This window comes from Homo sapiens, chromosome 6, assembly GCF_000001405.40.
Source record: "Homo sapiens chromosome 6, GRCh38.p14 Primary Assembly".
NCBI lineage: Eukaryota > Metazoa > Chordata > Mammalia > Primates > Hominidae > Homo > Homo sapiens.
The window spans coordinates 119,086,349-119,114,242 of NC_000006.12; the positions used below are offsets into that span (position 1 = coordinate 119,086,349).

At 41.3% G+C, this 27,894-nt stretch overlaps 1 protein-coding gene across 2 annotated transcripts in view, besides 1 other annotated feature; it reads right to left on the reverse strand.

The window, feature by feature from the left end:
* Positions 1 to 27,894, reverse strand: part of FAM184A (family with sequence similarity 184 member A) — a 189,366-nt gene that overhangs the window by 126,586 nt on the left and 34,886 nt on the right. The window lies entirely within an intron of this gene.
* Positions 3,844 to 4,345: an enhancer, noted in NCBI's record as "NANOG hESC enhancer chr6:119411357-119411858 (GRCh37/hg19 assembly coordinates)". NCBI's record gives its function as "activates a minimal SCP1, AML or CMV promoter by ChIP-STARR-seq in primed H9 embryonic stem cells {active_cell/tissue: H9 hESC(primed)}" and the evidence as "EXISTENCE:reporter gene assay evidence [ECO:0000049][PMID:30033119]".

The following is a 27,894-nucleotide window of genomic DNA, read 5'->3' on the forward strand; positions in this document are numbered from 1 at the left end:
AATGAAGAATTAGATGCTACAAAGTGGGTGAGTGTGAAAGGAACTCCAAAAGAGTCGCTTAACCTAGACTTGGGGTGTCAGAGAAAGCTTCACACATACAAACATAGTGCTTGAATGGACCCTGAAGGCTGAGTTTTTCAGGTAAAATGGGTAGGAAGGTAGATTACAAGCTCTAAGGACGGTAAGGGCAAAGCCATGGAGATTAGATGAGAGCATGACCTATTTAGGGAAAAGCAAGTAGTGTAATATGGCTAGAGCACAGTTTGAGAGGGATGTCAGAATGTGAGGTGGAACAGGTATCAAGATTACTTATGGAAGGGGACTTACATGCCTTGACAAGAGGATTGGGTCTCTGTCCCGAAGACAATCACGAGCCATTGGAGGGCTTTAAGCAGGAACATGAAATAATCGTATTTTCATTTTAGTTACATCATTTTTTGACTGTGGAAAATCGATTATGGGACAACTCTATAAACAAGGAGACTAGTTAGCAGGCTATTGCACTTATTCTGGTGAGAGATGATGAACCACTGACCTAAAATAAGGCAGTGAGAGTAGGAACAAAAAAGGATGGATGTGAAATATCCATAAGGTAAAACAGACAGGACATTGAGGCTGAGGAACAGAGAGCTGTCAAGTTTGCCTGATTTTTTCCAAGGAGGGGAGGCTCCTAGCACACGATACATGGTTATAAAATTAAGTAAAATTTACAAAAATAACATTCTTTGTATTTTTTAGGCCTTCCCAAATTGTGTATGTTTCAGGCCCCAGAAAACCTAGATTAACCCCAGGCAGTAGCAGTTAAGGTTAAGAATTAAAATTAGGATTGAGATGTGAGCTCAACAGTTAATGGACCAAAAGCATAGGCAGCAAAAGAAAAAACAGATAATTTGAACTTCATCAAGATAAAAACTTTTATGCGTCAAAAGATACTAACAAGAGAGTGAAAAGGTAGCCCATGAAATATGAGAAAACATTTGCAGACCATGCTTCTGATAAAGGATTAATATCCAGAGCATATAAAGAATTTCTAAAACTCAACACAAAAAGCAAATAACCCAATTAAAATATGGACAAAGGACTTGAATTGTTATTTTTCTAAAGAAGATATACAGATGGCTAATAAACACATAAAAAGATGGTCAAAACATCACTAATTATAAATGCAAATCAAAGCCACAATGAGATACCACTTCACACCCATTAGAATGGCTGCTATCAAAAAAACAAAACAAACCCAAACAGAAAAATAACAAGTGGTACATGGAGAAATTGGGATCCCTGTGGTTGAAATTGCTGGTTGAAATGTGAAATGGTACAGCCACTGTGGAAAACAGTATGCTGGTTCCTCAGAAAATTGACAGAATTACTGTATGATTCAGAAATTTCACCTCTAAGTATATACCCAAAATAATTGAAAGCAAAGACTTGAAAAGATAATTTGTACACCGATTGTCACAGCAGCATTATTCACAGAAGCCAAAAGATGGAAGCAGCCCAAATGTGTATTGATGGATAAATATGGATATACAGAATGTGGTATATACAACAGAATGTTATTCAATCTTAAAAAGAATGACACATGGTCCATAAATGAAACTTAAAGATATTACATTAAGTGAAATAAGCCAGTTACAAAAGGACAAATACCATATGATGTTTTACTTATATGAAGTAGCTAGAACACTCAAATTCATAGAGACAGAAAGTAGAATGGTGGTTTCCAGGGGCTAGAAGGAGAAGGGAATGGAGAATTATTGTTTAATGGGTATAGGGTTTCAACTGGGGAAGATGAAAAAGGTCCAGAAATGAATGGTGGTGATGGTTGTACAACAGTGTGCATCTACTTAATGCACTAAATATACACTTAAAAATGGTTAAAATGCTAAATTTTATGTTATTTATATTTTGCCACAATTAAGAAAAGATTCATCGATGAAAAGTACTCTTGCTACTTATGGGAAGTGCATTCCAGTGAACAGACAATCAGAGAATGCTGTTCTATCAATCAATAAACATTTATTCACTGCTTTCCTCATGGAGATGAAATAGACATTTCCTATCCAAGGTCATGGTTAGCTAAAGAGGACGTCTAAATATAAGATTTGAAAGAAAGAGGTAGAGGAAATGTTCTTCTTTCTTCTTTTTTCTATTCTTTCTTCCCATTTTGGCCAGAAGAATCATAGAGACCAAGTTAGGCAGTCAATGGAAAATGATACTAAATATCTACAAAAGCACCTGTACTAAAGATCTACAAAAACTTCTTCGGGGTTGGCCAGGTGATCTCAAAGGTACTTTTCAGGTCTTTTATTTGCATCTCAATGTTATGCCTCTTAGGAACATTCAGTATTTGAATGGGACTCAATCTAAGGCCATAGAGCAAGGTATAAGGGACTCAGAATCACTATAGACTGTGTACAAGCAACTGAACTCCAATGGAATCAATAATCATACTAGCTTTTTGTAAGACTTCACACAAATAAGGAAAACATTTTGAGTTAAACATTTTCTAAATGACAACTCTTCTCTTGGTGCAAGTTTCCATGTATAATGAAAAGAGAATCAGAATCTTGGTTGGTATTCTGGGTCTCATGTTGCCACTAAGCCACCTCTTTTCTTCATTTGTAAAATGAGGAGATTGGACTAAATGATCTTGAGTATTTCTTATATCTCTCTCATGTTACATGTTGAATTATTTAATATTTTCTATTATTTATTTATTTTAGACAGGATCTTTCTCTGTCACCCAGGCAGGAACTCTTGGGCTCAAGCAATCTTCCCACCCTCGGCCTCCCAAATAGCTAACACCTATTTTTTTTTTTTAATTATCTCTCTCTCTTTATTTATTTATTTATTTATTTTTTTATTTTTTTGAGACAGAGTCTCACTCTGTCACCGAGGCTGGAGTGCAGTGGCTTGATCTTGGCTCACTGCAACCTCCACCTCCCAGGTTCAAGCGATTCTCCTGTCATAGCCTCCCAAGTAGCTGGGATTACAGGCATCTGCCACCACACCTGGCTATTTTTTTTTGTATTTTCGTAGAGACGGGTTTCAACTGGTCTCAAACTCCTGACGTCAAATGATCTGCCTGACTTGGCCTCCCAAAATGCTGGGAATATATACTTTTTAATTCTTGTAGAGATGGGATCTTGCTACATTGCCCAGGCTGGTCCTGAACTCCTGGTCTCGAGTAATCCTCTTGCCTCAACCTCCCAAAGCACTGGGATTACAGGTGTGAGCCACCATGCCCAGCCATTATTTCATATTTTTAGAACAGAATTTTGTTGTATTTGTATGGATATACCACATATCAATCATGCTCCAACTCTCACTTCCACCTCCTAACACACCCAAAGCATGGTACACAAAATAAGCCTAAATAAGGTGGTTCTTGTTTCTTTAGATAAGTGGTTAATCTAGATGGCTGCATATTGGTAAACATCGTTATAAAAGAGTTTGACTATGATTTGTTGGTTTCTTGCTATGTGCTTCTTTCTCTTTTTTCCTTATTTTTGTTTCTTCCCCATGAATTCAGAAAACTCATCTCTATCATCAACTGATAATGATATTGAAAACCTTCTAAAATGTTTGATACATAATACATGCACAATAAATGTTTATTTCCAATTTTTAGTTAACTTCATTTTCTCAACCAACACTATCATTAGCTTTTTCTCTAACAACACAGCCAACCCTTTCTATGAATATCACAATCAACCAGAAGCCAACTGGTTTATCCATCTACTTGGCTTCCTTTGCAAGCAGGGACTGAATAAGTTTACTTGATAGGTGATCTTGAAAAGCAAGAATATGAGAGAGATAAGGAAAAGCCATTGAAGGACACATTGTTGAGTTGGTTACCACTTTGGTCAATTGGGACTCAATCTCTGAAGAATCTTGTAAAATGAATCTCAGAATTTTCTCTAGCAAAGACGAAAGGCTAACACATTTATCTGCTGTCTCCTTTCACTCACTGATCGAGGATGGCTGCCAGGGGAATTAACATCTCTGTGTGTCTGGTTATTCAATGTGAGCTTAGTGAACTCCTGTGGCTTTGGAGAGAGTGGGAGTCAGGAAGGCAGAGAGATCCAGCAGGTGCTTGAGGGAAAACTGTGGCATGCATAGGAACTGTCCAACACCTTTGCAGCTGAAATCAAAAGAAGTGGCACAAGACATCAAAAGTATCTCCTACAATCTATCCCTTACCTTTCAGATCCATTTTTGCTCTATATGAAATTCATTCTGTCACCAACTCTTTAAGGTCATAGCTAGCTTCTGATTGTTAAAAGGACTCCAGATGAGACTTAGTGTAGCAAGCAAATGTCCCTTGCTGCAACTGCTCAAAGGGCCATAACTGATATTCATCAGGTCCCACTCAGATTTCCACCCATTCCAGATTTTTTTTACCCTTGGTGAGCACTTCAGCTAATCTAAGTTATTTGGTTGGTGGGGAGATCCAAATGTCTTCATCCTTGAGGAATCCAAGCTCTTGGTTGGCTTACCCATGTCAGGCTGAGGCTGCTATAATTTTTCATTCAGTGCTTTTGCCAGGTATGAAAGAGCTAGATGAATCCCAGTTAATCTTTCGAGATCTAGAAATACTCCTTACTGCCTTCATTATTTAGCAATAATCCTAGATGCTTATGATAATCAGGATCAATTACCTTGCCAGTATGAAAAATGCCTTTCTTTGTCTACTAGTCCTTTGGCATAAAGAGCCAAAGTGAGCAGGGGGTAGTCATAGCTACAGGTCCTGTGAGATTCTTGCTGTGTATTAATGCTGTGTACTAATGCTACGTATTGATACAAGTCATTTTTCTCCCTCCTACCACCAGTAAAAATTTATAAAAATAATTCTTTGCATTTTTTAAGAATGTTAGCAGAGCCTAAGGATGTGAACATAGGAAGCACAAATTCTGCAAGTGGGTCGCTGGGTATGACGGTGAGAGAAGCCAATTCAACTTCTCCACCTTGGTTTCTAGACTTATGTATCCTAGCTATTAGATACACGGCATTGGCTCAATGCGTATATCACATCCTATAGGCCAAATCCTAATCATGCAGAGTATTGTCTCCAAACTAGCCGATCTCTAAATTGTTCATTCCAACATTTTATCAGTTCAGCAACTTGTGGATACTGTGGTATATGGTAGGAACAGTGGATCCCATAGTCTTGTGCCCATGTTGTCTTGTTGTGCCTCCTTCACTATGGGTCCTTTAGTGCAAACTGATGTTATACAGGTAACAACGTTAGTAAATGAAGCATTCTGTAAGCTGTCAGATAATAATCCTAGAAGCTACACTATGAGCAAGAAGGACAAACTCATATTCAGAACAGGAAACAATTCCAGTAAGGATGAATCACTGTCCTCTCTGGAGGGAGGATGAGGGATCGGATGCAATCAATTTGCCCCTAAGTTCTTGGCTAGTGTCCTTGAAGGTTGGTACTCTGCTGAATGTGTGTTATTGGTTTTTGTTGCTGACAAGTCAGAACTTTGTAGATACAGTAGCTATGCCAGCTTGGTGAGAATGAGCCAATACAGTTGGGGCCTTGCATGGCCTCCATACCTGCTGACAAAGCTACTATGTTGATGGGTCCATTGCACTAGCATTGGAGTGCCAAGAATAGAGGCTGGCTGACATCTACCCAAGGGGTAGCCTCTTTTCCTCATTGCTAAGAGCCTCTCAGTGATGGATGTTCTCCAGAGAACATTAGTGTGAGGCATGAAGATGTGCATGTTCATTTCTACTCTTATTCGTATATCCACATGACTTTTATTTGCCTGCTTATTTACTTATTTACTTGGGGGACAGGATCTCACTTTGTCACCCAGGCTGGAGTGCAGTGGCATAACCATGGCTTACTGAAGCCTCGACCTTCCAGGCTAAAGCAATCCTCACCCCTCAGCCTTCCAAGTTGCTGGGACTACAGGTACACACCACCACACCTGGCTAATTTCTTATTGTTTCTAGAGACAGGGTCTTGCCATGTTGCCCAGCCTGGTTTTGAACTCTTGGGCTCAAGCAATCCTCCCACCTTGGCTTCACAACATGTTGGGATTACAGGCATGAGCCACTGTGCCCAGCCAATTATTATTTTTAATTGACATATAATTGTACACATTGATGGAGTACAGTATAATATTTCAATATGTATATACAATGTGTAAGGATCAAATCAGGGTAATTACCATATTATCCATCACCTTTATCAATGGGGCCATGATAGCATTTGGGTCCCCTGTTATTAGTGTCACCTCAGATCCTGTATCTAACAGCCCTTGAAAGGTCTGAATAAATAGCCATAGGTCTCTTTGGGGGAAGAATTGGAGAGTTAATATATATATATGTTTATGATGTGATTGCAGGGCCTTTCCTTGAGCAGATCATGCTTCCCCTTCAATTATTGGGTTCTGGGTCTGATAACTCACTCTGGTCTAAAAACTCAACAGAGTATTATACTTTTCTACTGTGGCACTGATCCTAGCCTACTGCTCACCTGTTTTTACTTTTTTTCTGGTTATGAAAGTCAAGTAATATTTTTGTAGGCTGCCTATCCATCTCACTCCTGGGAACATGAAGATCTATTATCACAAATCTCTAGGGGCCTGGCAAAACCCTGGTTACCCCTATAGTCTTGCATATTACATGAATTATGTCCATCTGGCCTTCGATGTTTAAGTGCAGCTACCTGGACTCTCAAATAATTGAATTCTTTTTATTCCCATTGACCCTAGAAGGCTCAATTCTGTGGCAGAATTTTATTCTGTGAACCCCAATTCATAGAGGCCACTGCCACTAACCTTTCATAAAATGCTGGTATGTTCCTTCTTACCTTTGTGGAGGGAGTACAGTAGGAAACAGTCAGGCGATTGGTCTCACATAAAAATCTCATTCTCTTATGCCCACTTCCTTGAGCCTTCTGACCTTTTTTTAAATAGACAACTGTGGCATCTCTACATTGTTATCATGTCCAAGTTTCAAGGCACCGTCTTAGCAGTGTGTTGGGACAAACTCCAGGAGTCCTTGATGGGATGTTACCGTGAGTCACGGGAGAATTACACTCTCCTGTATTCAGCCTTATATCTCACTTACCTATCCTATTCAATTTAACACTTTCAGATTTATTCCCATAGATCTTTTCCTCTTTCCTGTCAGAATTTTTCTGTAATTCTTTCAGCAAGTTATTTCTTCCCATAGAAGAAACAGTACCTTCCCTCTTACGGTATGCTAGAACTTGACACATTTTCAAGCTACAGGCAGTTAGAGGAGTCACTGGAGGGATCCCAAGGAGGACGAGTAACATCTTCCAAGACACTCAACTCAGGAAGGTTTTCATCCTCTTCAGGCAAGGGAAGACTGCTGTCCTCCAGCAAGAGGCAGGAGACTGGTTTCTGTAACCTCCCTGATTCAAGAGCACCCAGGATTTAAGGTCCTCATCCATATCCTCACAGAGGCCTTCATCCCAAGTCTGAGTCCCACTGTTTCCCTATCAAAGCTGTGACTTTAGCATAGATCTTTAGCGTAGAAGACCTGTATATTCAGTCTCCTTTGCCATTCTGCCACCCCTAAGATTGAATTTGGAGCTTGAATTTTAGCACAGACTGCCCTTTCATCTTTTTTTCCTTCCTTCCTTCCTCCCTCCCTCCCTCCCCTCCCCTCCCTCCCTCTCTCCCTTCTTTCCTTTCTTCCTTCCTTCCTTCCTTCTTTCCTTTCTTTTTCTTTCTCTCTCTCTTTTCTTTTCTTTCTGTTTCAGAGATGGGATCTCACTCTGCTGCCCAGGCACAATCATAGCTCACTGCAGCCTTAAACTCCTGAGCTCAAGCGATCCTTCTGCCACAGCCTCTCGAGTAGCTGGGATTACAGGAGCAAGCCACTGTGCCTGGCCCGACTGCCGTTTTGCTACACAGTCCCTTTACTTGCTGTCATGGAAGACTTCTGACTTTCACAGAATGTCTTGACCTGATAGTTGGCTGACCTGAACTCGTCTTTTTCTTTGAGGCAGTCTTCAAAACTCTTATGGCATTTCACAAAAGCCAGTCAATTCCACTACTGTTATAATTACCATTGCCCCCTTTCATCCCAGTATTAGATACTATATAAGTGAAGCTTTCCCTTCCACAACATCCTGTCCACCACGGGTGAGAGTTTGATTGTTATGCCAGAGGTTATCAACACCACAATTACTACCAGCAATGGAGCTTTTGTTTTCATCTGACTGGTGAGTAAACCTGTTCCAGAATACCATCCCGAGGGGATGCTTTCTCCAACTACACCAGATATTACTGTCTTAGTTTGGGTCCACCCAAAAGTAGAGCATGAGGTAAGGAATTGAGTTCAGGTAATTTATTTGCAAAATGACTCCAGAAAGTAGGAATGAAGGAGTAAGCTTACTGAGAGAAGGAAGATGGAAAAGTAAAAAAAAAAAAGGAGGGGATGTTATTGAACTAATTACCGCAGTGGGCAATTGGGCTCAAGCCTTCCGAGGATCCTTTGAGGAACCATGTGGAATACACTTGAGAATGGCCCTGCAAAAGAGGGGAGGCTGAACAATTTATCCCCTGGCACCACTGGCTGGGGTTCTAATGGGGGAATATTTCTCCTTTGGGCTTGCCCTGTACACTTATAAGCTCCTAGCATATAAGCTCCCACTGCTTCCTTGGTAAAGGATGTCAGAGAGATGAAGAGGAACTTGTGGTGGGACTCTGTCAGCATGCATAGGAAAGTGCATTACAGCTGCAGCAAAAAAAATCAAAGGTGGGCTGAGTGGATGTAGAGCATCTACTTTATCACAAAAGCCAGTCCCGTACACCCAGCAAATGGTCTCCTTTAATTAAATATTCCCATCTCTTCCTTGCTAAGAACCCTACTTATAAGCCCTATTCATTCTTACCAGGATAACCTTTGTCTCCTCAAAGGCACTGAGAGAAGAAACAATCCATGTGTGTTTTATAAAACGTGCTGAAGTCAGGAAAGATCCTAGTGAGAGGCATTGGTGAGTTCCTGTTAGGTGTTCTTTTTTTACACTTTTTATTAAGTTCCTGGGGGAAGAACTATAAGCAAGTTGTAGTTATCCAATCCCTTGCTCCTGGCTTGAAAATCCAGTGGCCAGAGACAGAATTTAGCTCTACCTTTCATGGCACTCTTTGGGTGGTCTCTCAGAGAGGATATTATAATATCTAGATGAGAAATAATATAGGCTTTTATTTTCTTTCATTATTTATTTATTTTAGAGGTAGGTACTCTGTTGCCCAGGCTACAGTGCAATGGTGTGATCATAGCTCACTGCAGCCTCGAACACTTGGGCTCAAGTGATCCTCCCACCTCAGCCTCCTGTGTAGCTAGGACTACAAGTGCACACCACCACACCTGGCTAATTATTTTTATTTTTATAGAGACAGGGTCTTGCTATGTTGCCCAGGCTGGACTTGAACTCCTGGCTTCAAGTGATCCTTCTGGCTCAACTTCCCAAAGCACTGAGATTAAAGGTGAGAGCCACCATGCCCAGACAGGTTTTTCTATTTTTTTGTGTGTGTGAACTTCCAGTCCATCTTCCATTGCCTTCCAATGGGCGCAATTAGTTGAAGTAGCAAGATGTTGACTCTTGTGGGTTCCTCTTTCACAGTGGGTTCTTTTCTGACTTTGGACTTTGGCAAGATTCTTCTTTGTATTTGAGCCTATCTCATTCCACCTCTCCTCAAAGCAACTCATGTCATTTGAAAAGAATTCTTTAGGCCATCGATTAAAAAAATCACCCCTTTGAGGTGGTGACATTGGGTACCAGGGGAAAAAGGGTACCTACTGTGTATTCTGATAAGTGGCTTGAAAACAGCCTCCTCCTCAGCTTGCTGTCTTTATTGCCTCATCTCTCATGACACTTGTTTTCTTCACTGCTCCTGGCATGTCTTCAGGTTATTGACTTCTGGGATTTGCAGATTTTGTAACGTGGTACTGCTTTGAAAGGAGTACTTTACACTGCTTTGGAAGAACAGAAAGAAAGAAAAGGGGCCGGGCGCGGTGGCTCACGCCTGTAATCCCAGCACTTTGGGAGGCCGAGGCGGGTGGATCATGAGGTCAGGAGATCGAGACCATCCTGGCTAACAAGGTGAAACCCCGTCTCTACTAAAAATACAAAAAATTAGCCGGGCGCGGTGGCGGGCGCCTGTAGTCCCAGCTACTCGGGAGGCTGAGGCAGGAGAATGGCGTGAACCCGGGAGGCGGAGCTTGCAGTGAGCCGAGATTGCGCCACTGCAGTCCGCAGTCCGGCCTGGGCGACAGAGCGAGACTCCATCTCAAAAAAAAAAAAAAAAAAAAAAAAAGAAAGAAAGAAAAGGTTAATGCTAAGGACTGTTATTAGTATTGGTATTGGTCTAGGCTGAGATTCAGTATGGGAGTGATAGCACTCTGGATAAATGCTTGAACACACTTTTGTCTCTCCTACCTCCTGACACCAATTACTTCCCCACCCCCACTCCTCCCGACTTGCTTCTCTCAGGTCCAGGCCTGTCCTTGACGTCAGAAGGCATGGGCTGGTCTCCAGGAAGCCCGTCCAAGCTCAGAACTTAGAGACAAAGCAAAGCATTCTGCACAGTCCTGCTTGACATTTCCTCTCTTTTCTCATTTGAAGATTTTATTGTGTTACCCTGGTGATGAGAAATGTAGTTAAGAAAGAGGAATTCCCAGAGTAGAAAGTATGGGGGCCAGAAGAGGCAATAAGAGTCCAGATTTAGAAAAATCCTATCAGAAGGAATACTGGGGTCAGAACAACGATGACATTCCCTTCCACCCTTCCCATCTCGCAGTTCATGCAGTTCTCTCTCACCTCTGCCTCATGACTGGTTGTATTCACACTTAAAAAGGAATACTTCCTTTTTCAAAACATGTTTTTTCACTTAAGAAAAAGAGCTCAGCTTTCAGTTCTCCACCTCTTTTCCTCTTCCTCCTTCCTGTCCTACTCTCCAATTTCTTGTGTTCTTTTATAAAAAGAACAATTAAAAGCAAAGACAAACAAAATGTGAACCATCACAAACACATGCTTGTAAAGCAAGTTTTATGCAACAGAATGAATATTCAAAAATGAAAAACAAATGTCTTACTTCAGATTTCACCCAAAAGTGGATTCTGAGACAAGGATTTGGGTACAAGCAGTTTATTTGGGAGGTTGTGATACTATTTTACATATACATTTATATATATATAAGTCTTTTCTACCACGGTCCCTGGCTCATAACTCCCATAGCCCTGGTTACTTGCTAAGTGGCCGAAACAATAATCATATCTTTCGCTCAAGGTTTTGTCCTTTTGTCTTTGGTTCCTGAAGCAGCTTCAGGGTGAAAAAGGTAAAAGGTAGTCTTTTGGTGTAATGTTGCAATACTTTAGGCCTCAGAACTAGACCTTAGGAAACAGAATCTGTCTCTCTCTTTCTCTCTCTCTGACCTGCCTTCCTTTCACCTGCTCCTTTTTCTCCTCGAGGCAGGCCATAGAAACTAAAAATATACTCTAATCTTTCCTCACCTTTCTGTCTTGGAGCTGGCCATAAAGAAATTATCTGACTACATTGTCTGATTGTAGGTCATAATGTTGCTGAACCAAACTGGGGCCCTCTCACCGGATGCAGTAAGGCCGAACAACCACACCGAGGTTTTGCATCAGGAGGAGGGAGGGTGATATGGTTTGGCTGTGTCCACACCCCAGTCTCATCTTGAATTGTAGCTCCCATAATTCCCATGTGTTGTGGGAGGGACCCGGTGAGAGATAATTGAATCATGGGAGTGGTTTCCCCCATACTGTACTCGTGGTAGTGAGTAAGTCTCATGAGATCTGATGGTTTTATAAGGGGAAACCCCTTTTGCTTGGCTCTCATTCTCTCTTGGCTGCCACCAGGTAAGACATGCCTTTCGCCTTCCACCATGATTGTGAGGCCTTCCCAGCCACGTGGAACTGTGAGTCCATTAAACCTCTTTTTCTTTATAAATTAGTCTCGAGTATGTCTTTATCAGTGGTGTGAAACAGACTAATACAGAGGGGATTTATTTGCAGAATGCCAAGTAAAGAAAATCAGGCAGCTCACGCTTAAGACCCAACCTCCCTGTGTCTTACAAGCAAGACTTTTTAAAGGCAGGAGTAAATTTCAGCAAAGCAGAAATTACAGGCAAAATCATAAATGTATGAAGGCTATACGTTGGTTTGGCTTAAAATGGTGAGATATCTTGAAGTAGCGTGTTATGGGTCATAGGTAGATTCAAAATTTTTTTATTTGGAATTGGTTGAGGAAGGGAAGCTTTCTTTAAAATTTTGAGTTCAGCAGACAGAAATGATAGGTCTGGCCCATGGGCATGACTTCCTCCAGGTCCCTCAGGAAGAAATTTAGAACAAAGAACCGTGGTCAGAGTTCAGTCCTCAATTCTTATGTGAGGTCTACGTGCCGGTGGACCCATTTAGTAGGGGTCTGAGTTTCTGAAAAACAACTCAGGTACATGTGTTAAGATGTTATCTTTAGGCTGGGCGTGGCGGCACTTTGGGAGGCCGATGCGGGTGGATCACCTGAAGTCAAGAGTGGGAGACCGGCCTGACCAATATGATGAAACCCCATCTCTACTAAAAATACAAAATTAGTTGGGATGTGGTGGCGCATGCCTATAATCCCAGCTACTTGGGAGGCCGAGGCAGGAGAATCGCTTGAACCTGGGAGGTGGAGGTTGCAGTGAGCCGAGATCATGCCATTGCACTCCAGCCTAGGCAACAAGAGCAAAACTCCGTATCAAGAAAACAAAACAAAATAAAACAAAACAAAAAAGCTTCCCGGAGGGGCGCACACCTGAAGAGGGCATGGAAGCTCCACACCCCTTCCCATACCTCACCCTATGCATCTCTTCATCGTATCCTTCGCAATCTCCTTTGTAACAAGCCAGTGTTTCCCTGAATCCTCATCTTTAGCTTCTGCAGGGAACCAAACTTCTCATGACTGTAACTTTCTTGCCAATTGTTTTAAGCTACTATTACTGTCCTGCTTGTTAAGTTGCTCATTTACTTCTCAGGGCTAGCTAGGTGCCTGGAATTTCCCCTGAAGAAACTAAAGATTTTCCTTTATTTCATGCTTGGGGGAAGAGCTTCCAGTAGACCCCTAAGAGGAGTCCCTGCTCCATCTCAATAAGACCCCCATTTCAAAAGGGGTCCTGCTCCGTATCCTGGAAGAAGGAAAATTGCACCGACAGGCCAAGAAGAATCTGGACAGACAGGCCTTGCTGGGTTTCTCCACCCAATCTATTAGTATGGGATCATACACTTTTTGCCCAATCACATTTCTCACAGTTGCTAACATTCCTATCTATCGAAGTCTCCGTAAAAGGCGCAAGAGGACAGGTTATGGGGAGCTTTCAGATAGCTTAATACATGGAGCTTCCTGGAGGGGGGCGCACCTGAAGAGGGCATGGAAACTCCACACCCCTTCCCATACCTCACCCTATGCATCTCTTCATCGTATCCTTTGCAGTCTCCTTTGTAACAAGCCAGTGTTTCCTTGAATCCTGTGAGCGACTCTAGCAAATTAATGGAACCCAGAACCAGGATTTGGGATCTCCAGTTTATAGCTAGTCAGTCAGAAGCACTGGTGAAAGAACCTGGGCTTGAGATGGGCATCAAAAGGTGAGAAGTCTTGGGGACTGAGCCCTCAACCTGTGGGATCTGATACTATCTCCAGGTAGGTGGTGTCAGAATTATATTGGAGGACACCCAGCTGGTATTCACTGCAGAAGTGATTGCTTGCTGGCTGGTGGGGAGAAATTCCCACACGTCTGGTGTGAGAGTATGGTGGGAGAAACTGAGTTTATTTTTTTTCTACACAGAGGTGATCCCAGGAACTATGGTGAGGGAGAAATGAAATGGTACAGGAAATGGAAGGAGACAGGGAAAAGATCAATGCATTATCTTTGCATTGTACAATGCAATGTACAGGTTACTGCCATGAGTAATTGGGGCTCACTATCACTATGGACACTCTGAGACACATTGTAAAGCACATCTGAAATTGTTCCAAGAGACAAGGAAGCAAGGGTTTTTATCCATCAATGTCTGCCCATTACTGGTTGAAGTTTGCTCCCCAGGAAATTAACTCCCTGAGAGCTCTCAGGCAGAGGGATGCTTAAGGTGAAAAGTCATTGTCTACCTAAATACAGTTGACCTCCAGCGTGGGCCGGAGGGATATGGGCTGGACACTGACATTAGCTAGTCAAACATTTTTGTCTGAATAAAGCCAATAGCTAGTTTAGTTTTTACCTCTCTGTACTGACCCATTGGTTTAGTTTTCTTGAACATTAAAAATACTCTAGGCTGGATGCAGTGGCTCATGCTTGTAATCCCAGCACTTTGGGAGGCCGAGGTGGGCAGATGACTTGAGGTCAGGAGTTCAAGACCAGCCTGGCCAATATGTCGAAACCTCGTCTCTACTAAAAAAATACAAAAATTAGCCAGGTGTGGCAGCGGGCGCCTATAGTCCCAGCTACTTGGGAGGCTGAGGCAGGAGAATCGCTTAAACGCGGAAGGGGGCAGTTGCAGTGAGCTGAGATCACGCCACTGCACTCCAGCCTGGGCAACAGAGCAAGACTGTCTCAGAAAAACCCCAAAAAACAAAACAAAAAAACTTCTCTATATCCTCATGTTTTTATAGGCTCTATGAAAATAGTAATCCCCCATAATGTCTCACATTTCTCACAATGCACTTTCTTTTTTTTTTTTTGTAGATGGAGTTTCACTCTTGTTGCCCAGGCTGGAGTTTAATGGCATGATCTCGGCTCACTGCACCCTCCACCTCCTGGGTTCAAGCAATTCTCCTGCCTCAGCCTCCCGAGTAGCTGGGATTACAGGCATGCACCACCACGCCTGGCTAATTTTTTTTGTATTTTTTTAGTAGAGACGGGGTTTCTCCACGTTGGTCAGAATGGTCTTGAACTCCCAACCTCCGGTGATCCGCCCGCCTCGGCCTCCCAAAGTGCTGGGATTACAGGCGTGAACCACTGCGCCCAGCCACAATGCACTTTCATATCAATTATCTCATTTAATCTCAAAACAGTCCTTGAGATAAATATTATGAGCCTTACTTTACTATAGGATAACAGTGACCAAGATAAGTTAAATATTCCCCTGTAAGGCCATAAATCAAGCAAGTTGCTAATGTTCAAACTTCACTCTTTTGATTCTAATTTTGGTACTTTTCCCACCATACCCACATTTGTCTTCTATAATCGCGCAAATTTCTTGAGTGTGGGCATGGGATGTAACATACTAATAATGCTTAAATTATATGTACAAATCATGTTAACATTCTTCATATGAATCTTTTGTATTCATATCCCTTGCTGGTACAAGTGGGATACATAGTAGGAGACAACCACCATAAAGACACACAAAAAATTAAAGAATAAAGGATAGGCTGGGTGCGGTGACTCACGCCTGTAATCCCAGCACTTTGGGAGGCTGAGGTGGGCACATCACCCGAGGTCAGGAGTTCAAGACCAGCCTGGACAACATGATGAAACCCTGTCTGTACTAAAAATACAAAAATTAGCTGGGCTTGGTGGCGTGTGCCTGTAATCCCAGCTACTCAGGAGGCTGAGGTAGGAGAATCGCTTGAACCTGGGAGGCAGAGGTTGCAGTGAGCCGAGATCATACCACTGCACTCCAGCCTGGGCAACACAGTGAGACTTCATCTCAAAAAAATAAAAATAAAAATAAATAAAGTATATAAATGCATCATAAATAGAGTAATGCTAGGAAGAAACTGAATAATATTCTATCATGGAAAAGGAGTAGTTAGGGCAGGGCACAGGAAACAGCAGATTGTTTTCCATCCCTCATCAGAAGATTGGGAGTATAATTTTCAATGAAAAGAGTGAAGCTGATTATAAATGTAAGATATTGGCCCTTTAGGATTTGCTGTAGGCCAGCAGTTAGTGGAATTCTTAATTCCCCCCAATTATTACTAAAATTGTTATACCCTAAAGACCAATAAGGCATGAGAAGGAGGCCTGTGCTTAAAATAATCTCTACTTAGAATCAGGTGTATTAGGCAATAGGAATCATAGTAAATAAGCTTCAGTATGTATCAGGAAAGCAGAGAGCTATTACCAGCAGAAAATCTTGAGTTTGAAAATATCACTATAGGCTGGGCACAGTGGCTCACACCTGTAATCACAGCACTTTGGAAGGCCGAGGTAGGTAGATCACCTGAGGTCAGGAGTTTGAGACCAGCCTGGCCAATATGGTGAAGCCCCGTCTCTACTAAAAAATACATAATATTAGCTGGGCATGCTGGCATGCACCTGTAGCCCCAGCTACTCAGGAGGCTGAGGCAGGAGAATCGTTTGAATCCAGGAGGAGGAGGTTGCAGTGAGCTGAGATCGAGCCATTGCACTCCAGCCTGATGACAGAGACTCCATCTCAAAAAAAAAAAAAAAAAAAAAAAGAAAAGAAAAAAGAAAAGAAAATATCACTAAAAAAGGGCAGAGAAGAACAATATGAGCTCTAAAGTAGGACAGACCTGCCAGGAAATGCTACAAAGAGCATATAGTAGGCCTTGGTTTTCTATACAATGTCTACTCCCTTCTTATTCTTTCTTAACAGGACCCTAGTTTTGCTCAGATATTCATCTGTTCTTCATGCAATTCTGGAGTAACCTCCAGCTCGGGAGTCAACCCTAATTGGTCTGAATCAATTATGATATTCTTATTCTCCTGCCAGGAATTGGTTTATGATCATGTGGTTCAGGGACCTGGTTCTTGTCCATGACAAGGATAGAGAAGGGCCTGCTTTCTACCTGTGGACACTGCTGTGTCTGTATGTGATGCCTGAAACTACTACATCCATCTTGTTACCAGTCAGAGTATGAAGCCAGGACACTGATGAGTGTAGAGTGGAAAGACGAAATGAAGCTGGATCCAAGATGACATTGATGAGTAGCTACATCAACCCCCCCAAATCTATTTACTGACTACTTCAGGATTTTCTGATACATGAGTTAACAAATTTCTATTATTTAAGCCAATCTGGCTGAGTGATTTTTTTGTAATTTATAGACAAAGACACTTTAGCTGATGCAAGAATTAGGATGGTGGTAGACCTTCCATCCCAGCATGCGTTCTTTGCTCTTTCAATAATAAAAGATGAGCAAGACAAAACTAGAAGATTGTGCATAATTGGATGTCCAATTCATTTGTTGGAAAAAATTCAGGGAAATTCTAAGGAACCACATCTATGTTTTTCTGAGGCAGGAAAACAAAATATTTTTAAAAAGAGAGAGAGGAGGCCAGGCACGGTGGCTCAAGCCTGTAATCCTAGCACTTTGGGAGGCTGTGACAGGCGGATCACGAGGTCAAGAGATTGAGACCATCCTGGGCCAACATGGTGAAACCCCATCTCTACTAAAAATACAAAAATTAGCCAGGCATGGTGGCACGCACCTGTAGTCCCAGCTACTTGGGAGGCTGAGGCAGGAGAATTGCTTGAACCCAGGAGGTGGAGGTTGCAGTGAGCAGAGATCGAGCCACTGTACTCCAGCCTGGTGTCAGAGTGAGACTCCGTGTAGAGAAAAAAAAAAAAAAAAAAAAAGAGGAATGTTCATTCTTTACTCTGGTAATAATGTATTGTGCCATATTTTGGAAAATGATGATATTTTTATTTAATTTATGTAAGTTTATTTTTATTTTTATTTTTGAGATAGGGTCTTGCCCTATTGCCCAGGCTGGAGTGCAGTGGTGTGATCAGGGCTCACTGCAGCCTCAACCTCCCAGGCTCAAACGATCCTCCCAAGTATCTGGGACCACAGGTGCCTGCCACCAAGCCCAGCTAATTTTTGTATTTTTGCCATGTTGGCCAGGCTGGCCTCAAACCCCTGGGCTCAAGCAATCTGCCCACCTCTGCCTCCCAAAGTACTGGAATTACAGGCTTGAGCCACCATGCCTGGCCAACCATAGTTCTAAAAAGATGTTTGAAAATATTCCAAATGCCACCGCAAGAAAAACGAGGAAAGTATTGGCTTTTAGAATGTGGAATCTCTAAAATGAGAACTTAAACCTCTTGAGGGCAAGGATAATGTCTCAGGTTTGCATTCCCAGGGTCCACCATAGTGCCTGATAATAAAAGCTTGTCAGAGAAATAATCTGAGAACCTGGGAAAATGTGTCCAAAGTGGTATCACGCAAATAGTATCACACAGAAGATGTCCCTACAAAGATTCTAAGAATATGATCTTAAGTGTGTAAAGTGTCAAGATGCCACAACTTACCAAGACTTTGATGATTACATTTTTTTAAATGGTGCATGCTTTCAAAATTATAAATTACATTTTATTTACATATAAAATTAAATGGCTCTTCACTCCTTAAGTGTGGACTGCAAATAGAGACTTCTTTCCAAAAAGCCCTATAAAACGCGCGAAAAACTGTAACTTTAGAGTGCAGAAAGCTACTACCCAATACTACCTCAACTAGGTGATCAAGGTCAACGTCAATAGTGATAAGTCATTTTGATAGCATGTGCCCTTGATCTGATGTGATGAAAATAGCAGTTGATTTCTGTGATCTTCACTATCAAAACCCCTAAGTCCAGTCTAATTATGAGAAAAACATAAGGTAAATTTCAGTAGAGGAACATTCTATAAAACACTGGCCAGTACTACTCAAAACTGTTGAGGCCATCAAAGCCAAGGAGAGCCTAAGAGATACGATGACTAAATGTAATATGGTATCCTATATGGGATCCTGGAACAGAAAAAGGATAGTAGGTAAAAATTTAGGAAAATGGGATAAAATGTGGACTTTAGTTAATAATAGTGTGTCATACTAATATAAAATGTTAACAACAGGGGAATCTGGGTGTGGAATATATAGGAACTTTCTGTACTATTGATATGGTTTGGCTCTGTGTCCTCACCCAAATTTCATCTTGAATTGTAATCCCCACGTGTTGGAGGAGGGGCCTGGTTGGAGGTGATTGAAACATGGGGGTGGATTTCCCCTCTGCTGTTCTCGGGATAGTGAGTGAGTTCTCCTGAGATCTGATGGTTTAAAAGTGTGTGGCATTTCCCCCCTCACTCGCTGTCTCTCCTGCTCCACCATGGTAAGACCTGCTTGCTTCCCCTTTGCCTTCCACCATGATTCAGTTTCCTGAGGCTTCCCAGTCATGTTTCCTATTAAGCCTGCAGAACTGTGAGTCAATTAAACCTCTTTTCTTCATAAATTACTCAGTCTCACGTGGTTCTTTACAGCAGTGTGAAAACGGACTAATACAACTACCCTCACAATTTTTCTGTAAATCTAAAATTGTTCTAAAAAAAGTTTATTTAAAGAATATATGGGCTGCAAACAGGTACCTTCAGTTTTGAGCTATGTCTCCCATTTTCCCAATAATTTTCATCTAATACAAAGCTGGTCTTGCCCTTTCAATAATAGAAATACATTTAGAAAACCATACGCATTGCAGAAATTTATTATAATCTGTACTTTGACAGCAAATATCAAGCACATTTATTGCCCAGATGCATAGTTAGTTGGCAAACATTAATTTTAATTAATTAAGTATGTATAACTAACGTGAAGATATCAGTCATGAACAGCTGAATCTCAGTAAATTACCAGCTCCATATTTAAACAAACCACATCACTGTTTAAGGTCACATAATTGTCTCAGATTTTTGGCATGCTTTTTAAAAATTGTCATTCGTGAATTGGATACTGCTAGGAAAAGAAATGCTATTAAAAAAACCAAACTGATGCCGGGCGCAGTGGCTCATGCCTGTAATCCCAGCATTTTGGGAGGCCGAGGCGGGCGGATCACAAGGTCAGGAGATCGAGACCATCCTGGCTAACACGGTGAAATCCCGTCTCTACTAAAAATACAAAAAATTAGCCGGGCGTGGTGGTGCGCGCCTGTAGCCCCAGCTACTCAGGAGGCTGAGACGGGAGAATGGCTTGAACCCAGGAAGGCGGAGCTTGCAGTGAGATGAGATTGTGCCACTGCACTCCAGGGTGGGCGACAGAGCGAGACTCCGTCTCAAAACAAACAAACAAACAAAAAACCAAACTGACATATTTAAAAAGAGAATGTATTAAATGATCATTTGTATGGCTATTACTCAGAGTGGGACCTTTCGTCTTCTCATCTGCTTTCACAGTCTTATGATTTTGAAAAGTAAGCCAACTACTGGCTATGCCATCAGGCTATTAGTTTAACTTTTATAACTAGAGGTCATATGAATTATTCAGAGTAAACTCAGTATAACTACTTAATTGGTTGGCTCTAACTTTAGTTTTGAAACTAATTAACTGGAAGGGCTTCGGTAAATTACTTAATCTTTTTGTGCCTCAGTTTTCTCATCTCTAAAAAGGACTAATTGTAATTATCTTATGTGGCACAAAGATGTTGTAACAAAGTAAAGTAATAAGGCATGAAAACTGTTTGGGAGGTAAGGTTTATTTCACACTACAAAAAGTTCTTTGTAAATACAGATATTCACTGAAAAAAATCTGGTAAGTTACGGTGAATGGGAAAGGTTCTGGAAGAAGACAGAGATTGGTAATTAGGAGTAACTTTTTCCAAAAATGAGAAAAAGCCATAAACATTTGTTGCACTAATTTATCCAAGTTACTCATTTCCTGAAATGTTTTTGTAGGCCATATATTACTTTCACAGCTCTCAAGGGAATATCAAAATTTGGGATAAATCTATTATCCTGAAATTGTAATATGGAATTGTTAGTGAGAAATACCACTTAATGTGTAGTAAACATTAAATGTATAAGCTGCATATGAAAATAGTTTCTACATGATTTCAGTCTGCCAAAGCCAATCATCTGTCTCATGGAAACTTATGTTCATACACCTTTCTTAGGTTGTCATGGGATTCTTAAGTTTTAAAATACTTATGTTTACTAATATTATCAATGTTATTCTGAAAAAAAAGACACTAGAAAAAATTATCTCTAAATATGATGGATTTACTCAGGAATAGAAGTAAAGATTATAATTTGGAGTGCATGGAATGGCAAGCTACCAGTGCATTTATTTGGTGAGGGAAGGGTAAGAGGAGCTTTTATTAGCAAAAAAGAGTCTTACATAAACTGCTTAGAAGCAGAGTTCATTCGGCTGGGCACAGTGGCTCATGCCTGCAATCCCAGCACTTTGGGAGGCCAAGGTGGGCGGATCACCTGAAGTCAGGAGTTCGAGACCAGCCTGGCCAATGTAGTGAAAATAATTTGTCTCTAATAAAAAACCTAAACAAAACAAAATAAATTAGCTGGGCATGGTGGCATGCACCTGTAATTCCAGCTACTCGGGAGGCTGAGGCAGGAGAATTGCTTGAACCTGGGAGGAGGAAGTTGCAGTGAACCGAGATCTCGCCACTGCACTCCAGCCTGGGTGACAGAGTGAGACTTTGTCTCAAAAAAAAAAAAAAAAAAGAAAGAAAAGAACAGAGTTCAGAGTTCATTGGTCCTCAAGTTTCAAAGCCAGAGTTATTGTCAGTTCATTGTTGGAGATGCTGTTGCTGGGCAAGTGTTCCTTGGAGAACTGCTCTTAGTATTCTAAAGAAATTTAAGACATATTTATTAGGTGACAACATTCTTTACAAATATGAACTGAATTGGAATAAAAGGTTAATCAGGTATTGTTCTATGCGTGACTAGGGTTCTCCAGAGAGCAGAATCAGGAATTCTGGTAGTGAGGTTAGAATCTGTGTTTTAATGAGCTCTTCACATAATTCCCAAATTTGAAAGTTTGAGAAGCACTTGTTAGTGTGTGTGTGTGTGTGTGTGTGGTGTGTAGGGTTCTTGTATGGTTGCCATGACATTCATTTTCTTCCTTGTTTGTAGTAAATATGAGTCACTCATCGAGACCTTTTGATGCCTTGATATATGATGGGCAAATTCCCCTTGACACTCTCACCGAATAATTTTTGTTGAATGAGATTGGAGCACCTGTCTGGAGCAGAGTGGAACCATCACCAAGAACTCGAGTCTCTTCTCTCTTCTGAAATGCTGTTAAATAGCCTCTACCCCATCCAGGCTCTATTGAGGTCCTCTGCACTTTAGTTTGCTTCCTCCAAGTCAGCAGCTCTAGAAGGTGGCCAGCACTGGTGGCAATTTTTTTTTTCTTTGCCTCTGCCGAAATTCCATGATGGTGTACTGGGGTTGTCACTCTTAAAAACTTTTTCTTGACTTTTTAAAAGACTGTCTACCTTTTCAAATCATAATCTTCTCTTCAAATTGCAGGGAGTGCCTGCAATCCTCTTCATGGATTGAAAATGACAGTACCCTCTGGAGGTTGGGTTGGTTCCCTCTTTGGAAGGAGTCACCCAGGGATTGATGGATGGAGTTTGATGGAGAGTGAAGAGAGCTGCTGGCTCAGGAGCTGACACTCAGTACAAGCTTGGGTACCTGGGATGCTCCTGGGTTTCCCAACCATTAAAGCTTTGAGTGGAGTTGGGAATGCCTGAGCCAATAATCTCCACGCTCCAGGAAACAGAAGTGACTTCTACTCAACTTCCAAATGTTTTCTTCCTAGCTTTTGAGGGCATCTATGAGTTGACTCAATACTACAAACCTAAATCTACTCCCCACTATTTTCCAAAACAAGTCTTCCTTTCATGCCACAAACAAGCCAAACATCTGCATCCTTTCTTGTCTTTTTTCCTTTCTACTTAGAAAGTTATTTCTTCAATATTCTCTCTTTGTAAATTATCCCTATTCCTATCTCCTCCATGAAACCCTTTCCCAACTATTCTTGGTCTTATTGTTTTCTCAATTTCTGTAGCACTTGTCCTTGAACCATATAATTTAGCCATTAATTACACACTGTGCCACACTATTTGCTCTTATGCTAATGTGTCTTTAGTTTTTTATTCTCCAACTAAATTATAAGTGTCATGAGACATTTCCCATCTCTTACTTTACAAATGTAGAAACCTGTTTAAAGTACACAGAAGAAATTAGAGTCACAGATTTAGACCTGATTTTAGCACTTAAACCTCAGCCTCTCTCACAGTCACTCTCCTGTTTGGTTCCATCCCTTTGGGTGCTCTGATTCTAGAATATTTTCTCCAAGTCTTTCATTTCACTTTTTCTGTGAATCCTTCTCTCTCTCTCTGTCTGTCTCTCTGTCTCTCTCTCAGATGTTGGTAAATGTTCATGTCACTGGATGAATACTTTAGCTATGTATACAGAGCACCAAATGTTCTCACTAAAAAGATATGGATGAGGACAGGATTATCTTGACCTTGTGGCATTTCACAAATGAGTTATTATAACATTGTGGCAAAATCTGACGAATTGAAGCTGTTAATGAACAGAGACTCCCACATTCATGAGGACTTTCATCTTAGAAACTCAGCTCTGCTTTTATTATTTAAAATAGCTCTGCTATTTATTATTTATTATCCTCTTCTCCTACTTCTACTCCTAAATGCCATTCCTTTATTTATGGAAAAGCCTACTAACTCATTACTTTAAATGTTGCGTAATATCTGCCTTAGTATTTTTAGACCTATGTCTGATAAAAATGTAGTTCTGCCCTGCATTTTAGGCACCTTTTCTCAATTAAAAAAGAAGCTAGTATATTTATTGTCTTTATCTTTAAACACACATTTAACTCATCGATGCATCCCAGGGACTATCTATCCATCTCACCTGGGGGTTGGGCGCTGCTTCACCTAACATAAGTCTAAGTATCGTGCTTTAACTCAATAAGGAAATATTTTTCTCGCATAACAGGAAGTGAGAAGTCCTGCTTGAAAGTAAGCAGTCCACCTACAGATGGGTAGCCCAGGGATCCTGGGGCACCTCACCTGGGCCATCATCACCCCAGGCTCCTTTTTCTACTCTGCAGTGCTTAACATGTGCGTTTATTTTCCTGGTGGTCTCATCGTTACAGTATGGCTGTCCCACCTTTAGTTTCCCACCCAGGTTTTTGGTAGGAAGCAACCAAAACAACAATCGAAACACAACAAACACAAGGAAGAACGGGAGGAGCCTGTATCAGGAAAGCAAAACTTTTGATTTCCAGCAGACTTGAGCTTCTATCTCCAGGAAAGAACTGTGGCATACCCTCATCTCGGCTGCAAGAGAGGTGAGGCAATGGAGATTTTTTTTTTAGTTGGGTACACGGTGGCCTAATCAAAATTGGGGTTTTTATTTGTAGGCAAAAAAGTGAAAAGGATATTGGATAGACAACTAGCAGGGTCTATCCCATGGACAAGCCAGAGGCCGTTCCTCATGAATGATGAAGACCTATTTTCAGAGCTTGAAGATGTGGCAAGATTATGAATGTGTGGTTGGCTGAGACATTTCAGGCAAGACTGTGAAAGCTGTGAGCAGAATTTCAAGCACTCAGATACTGATCCACCATTCTTTTATATTTCACAATTAAAGTACTCCTTGTTAGTTAAACCCACACAAATGCTTCCAGCATTTCTTATGTTGAACATAGGCGACCTGGGGAAAAATGTGAATTCCATTCTAAAGAGGCAAAATTTAACGCAGTAAAAAACAGCTATGGTTTTGCCAGACATTGGGTCTAGTTCATGAATATTTGCTGCCACCTGCAGTTTAAACTTGATATTCACTCTGGTCACCACCTGTAACTGAAGTGTGGCCCAGCAAATGAAAAGGAAGGTTGCGATGAGTATCCTCGTCATTGCTGCAGCCTTATGCTTACTTAAAATTGAAGTTTCTATTTGTACATCCCCATTCATAGCAACATTATTTATAAAAGTCAAAGCATGGAAGCAACCCAAGTGTCCCTTGATGGTGAATGGATAAACAAAATATGTTATATACAAACAATATAATATTATTCAGCCTCAAAAAGGAAGTTTTGACACGTTATCACATAGATGAGCCTTGAAGACTTAACTGCAATAAGCCAATTACAAAAAGATAACTAATATATTATTTCACTTATATGAGATTCTCAGAGCACTTAAATTCCCAGAAACAGCAAGTAGAATGGTGATTGACAGGGGCTAGGGAGGAAGAGGGAACGGAGAGTCAGAGTTTAATGGATACAGAGTTTCAGTTGGGGAAGATGAAAAACGGCTGGACGTGGATGGTGGTGATGGTTGCACAAAAATGTGAATGTTCTCAGTGCCCAGAACTGTACATTCAAAAATGGCTAAAATGGCAAAAGATAATTTTTTAAAATGTTGAATTTCCAGGGAAGTGAGGAAGCTGATTCCGTAGACCACAGAAACCCGGCGTATTCCAGTTTATGTTACCATGTAATAATAAGTTGACACTAAGTCTGTTGGGTTTCCCCATTCCTGAAAGAGGTGTCTTGTCTGTTGATGAACAGATTGTCATGTTCTAGTCACAATGCAAATTATTTTGGCGGTGTCGAGAATGCAGCAGTTTAATGTACTACGAAAAATGCATGTAGTAGATTCAGCTGCAGGGAAGGAGGCAAGTTAGGGTAATTTGGGCAACTCATGTTTCTCTATAAAATCCATTTCCTGGCATATAGACTGAATATTTTCATTAAAGAAACAGTTTTCATTAAAGAAACAGAAAAGAGACTGTTTAGTGGCCCTAGAGAAATTGAAAAATTGTTTTCATGGTCTTCTGGTAGTTTTAAAACATAGCAAAGTAACAAGGCCATGTACTGCATATTATTCTATTAAAAACTATGTAATCCCTGATTGTACTTATTCTGGAAAGAAAGCAGGTGGGGACCTCCTATGTCCATGAAATGTGTTATTATTATACATAGAGTGTGGGAATGATCATATTTCTTTTTTCTTTTCTTTCTTTCTTTTTTTTTTTCAGGTGTAGTTTCACTCTTGTTGCCCAGGCTGGAGTGCAATGGCGCAATCTCGGCTCATCACAACCTCCGCCTCCCGGGTTCAAGCAATTCTCCTGCCTCAGCCTCCTCAGTAGCTGGGATTACAGGCACGTTACATGCCCGGCTAATTTTGTATTTTTAGTAGAGACGGGGTTTCTCCATGTTGGTCAAGCTGGTCTCGAACTCCCAACCTCAGGTGATCCGCCTGCCTGGGCCTCCCAAAGTGCTGGGATTACAGGCGAGAGCCACCACGCCTAGCCTTGAATGATCATACTTCAAATTGAACGTGCCATGACTTCCATCCGGGTTAGGTTTAAACCGTTTAGAAAACTCTTGAGATAACATTTTTAGTTTTCTGGCCATTGAAAGTTGAATGGGTTTTAGAGTAGAGCAGTCTCCTTTATCCTTTTCACTTTCAGCTTAATTGATTTCCACCCCCACACTTGCAATTCAGATCGTCAGTGGCTATTACCTGTTATACCCTGAAGAGTGGCCACAGGACAGACATCACTCTACAGAGAAATTGAATTTTATTCTTTTGGAAAATGGACTGCAATCCTGTCTCATAGCTTGAGATAGTCACACTATTTTTTAAAGGAAATGTGTGGAAAAGATAAAAATGAAATTGAGAAAGATAGTTAAAATATGAGGAAAGTTGAAAAAGGATAGATGTGGAATCCAAGGCATCTTTGGAAAACTTCTTTGTGTGGGATAAAGGATGCCTTCTGCGAAGAAAATCAGCAAAATGACCAACTGCCATAAAAGGGCACTTACAGTACATTTTTCCTTGCCTAAATGCTAAGTGGAGCTGCAGAAGGGAGGGGAAGGTTTTACTTCCTGTCTCTCTGGCAGAGGGGAGTGTAGTTGGCTGCCAGTCCCCTTGCTGTTCTCTGGGTCCACACCGCCCCAGTATGGCTGCAGCCACTGACTGAGCATGACAGGGTACTACTGCCAGCCCATTTCTGTGGCATGGCCATTGTGCTCATGGGGCAAGTTTCCTGATCACCATTATCAGATTATTTGACTCAACCCTTTAAAAAAAAATGCTCTCATTATGTTCCTGAAACATTACAACTGTGGCCAGGAAACTCTCTCGCTTGCTCAACCTGCCTCCTAATTTCCCCAGATCTCCCTGGCTCTCAAGGTCCTTCCCCTTCACTGTTTAAATGAGGCCTGGCTGTGTCCTGAGTTACGGGTTGTCATGCAGCTTTCTTAAGTCCCCATTATGACTTGGTGCCTGGATGTGGAGACTTGCTTCCCAGTGATGCTTCTGAAACCAGTTTTCTTCCTTTTTTTTCAACCTCACCACCCCTAATCATGCTTCTTTGAAGCTCATACCATACAACTATAGTTCTCAGTCCCCCCTTATCTGTGGTTTTGCTTTCCAAGGTTTCAGTTACCTGAAGTCAACTGTGGTCTGAAAATAGGTGAGTACAGTACAATAAGATATTGAGAGAGAGAGAGAGAAAGAGAGAGAGAGAGAGACCACATTCACATAACATGTATTATATGCCTGTAATCTCAGCACTTTGGGAGGCCGAGGTGAGTGGATCACTTGAGTTCAGGAGTTCGAGCCAGCCTGGCCAACATGGTGAGACCCCCTGTCTCTACTAAAAATACAAAAATTAGCTGAGCATGGTGGCTCATGACTGTAATCCCAGATACTTGGAAGGCTGAGGCATGAGAACTGCTTGAACCCGGGAGGCAGAGGTTGCGGTGAGCCGAGATCATGCCACTGCACTTCAGCCTGAGTGACAGAGAAACTATGTCTCAAAATAAATAAATAAATAAATCACATTTATTACAGTATATTGTTATAATTTTTCTATTTTATTGTTATTGTTGTTCATCTCTTACGGTGCCTAGTTTATAAATTAAACTTTATCATAGGTATGTATGTATAGGAAAAAGCATAGCATATATAAGGTTCAGCATGATCTGTGGTCTCAGGCAACCACTGGGGGTTTTGGAACTTATCTGCCATGAATAAGGGGTGCCTACACTATCCCATATTGCTATTATCTCTCATTCACAGAACACCTTCCAGGGCAGTGTTTCTCTCCACCTAAAGTTGT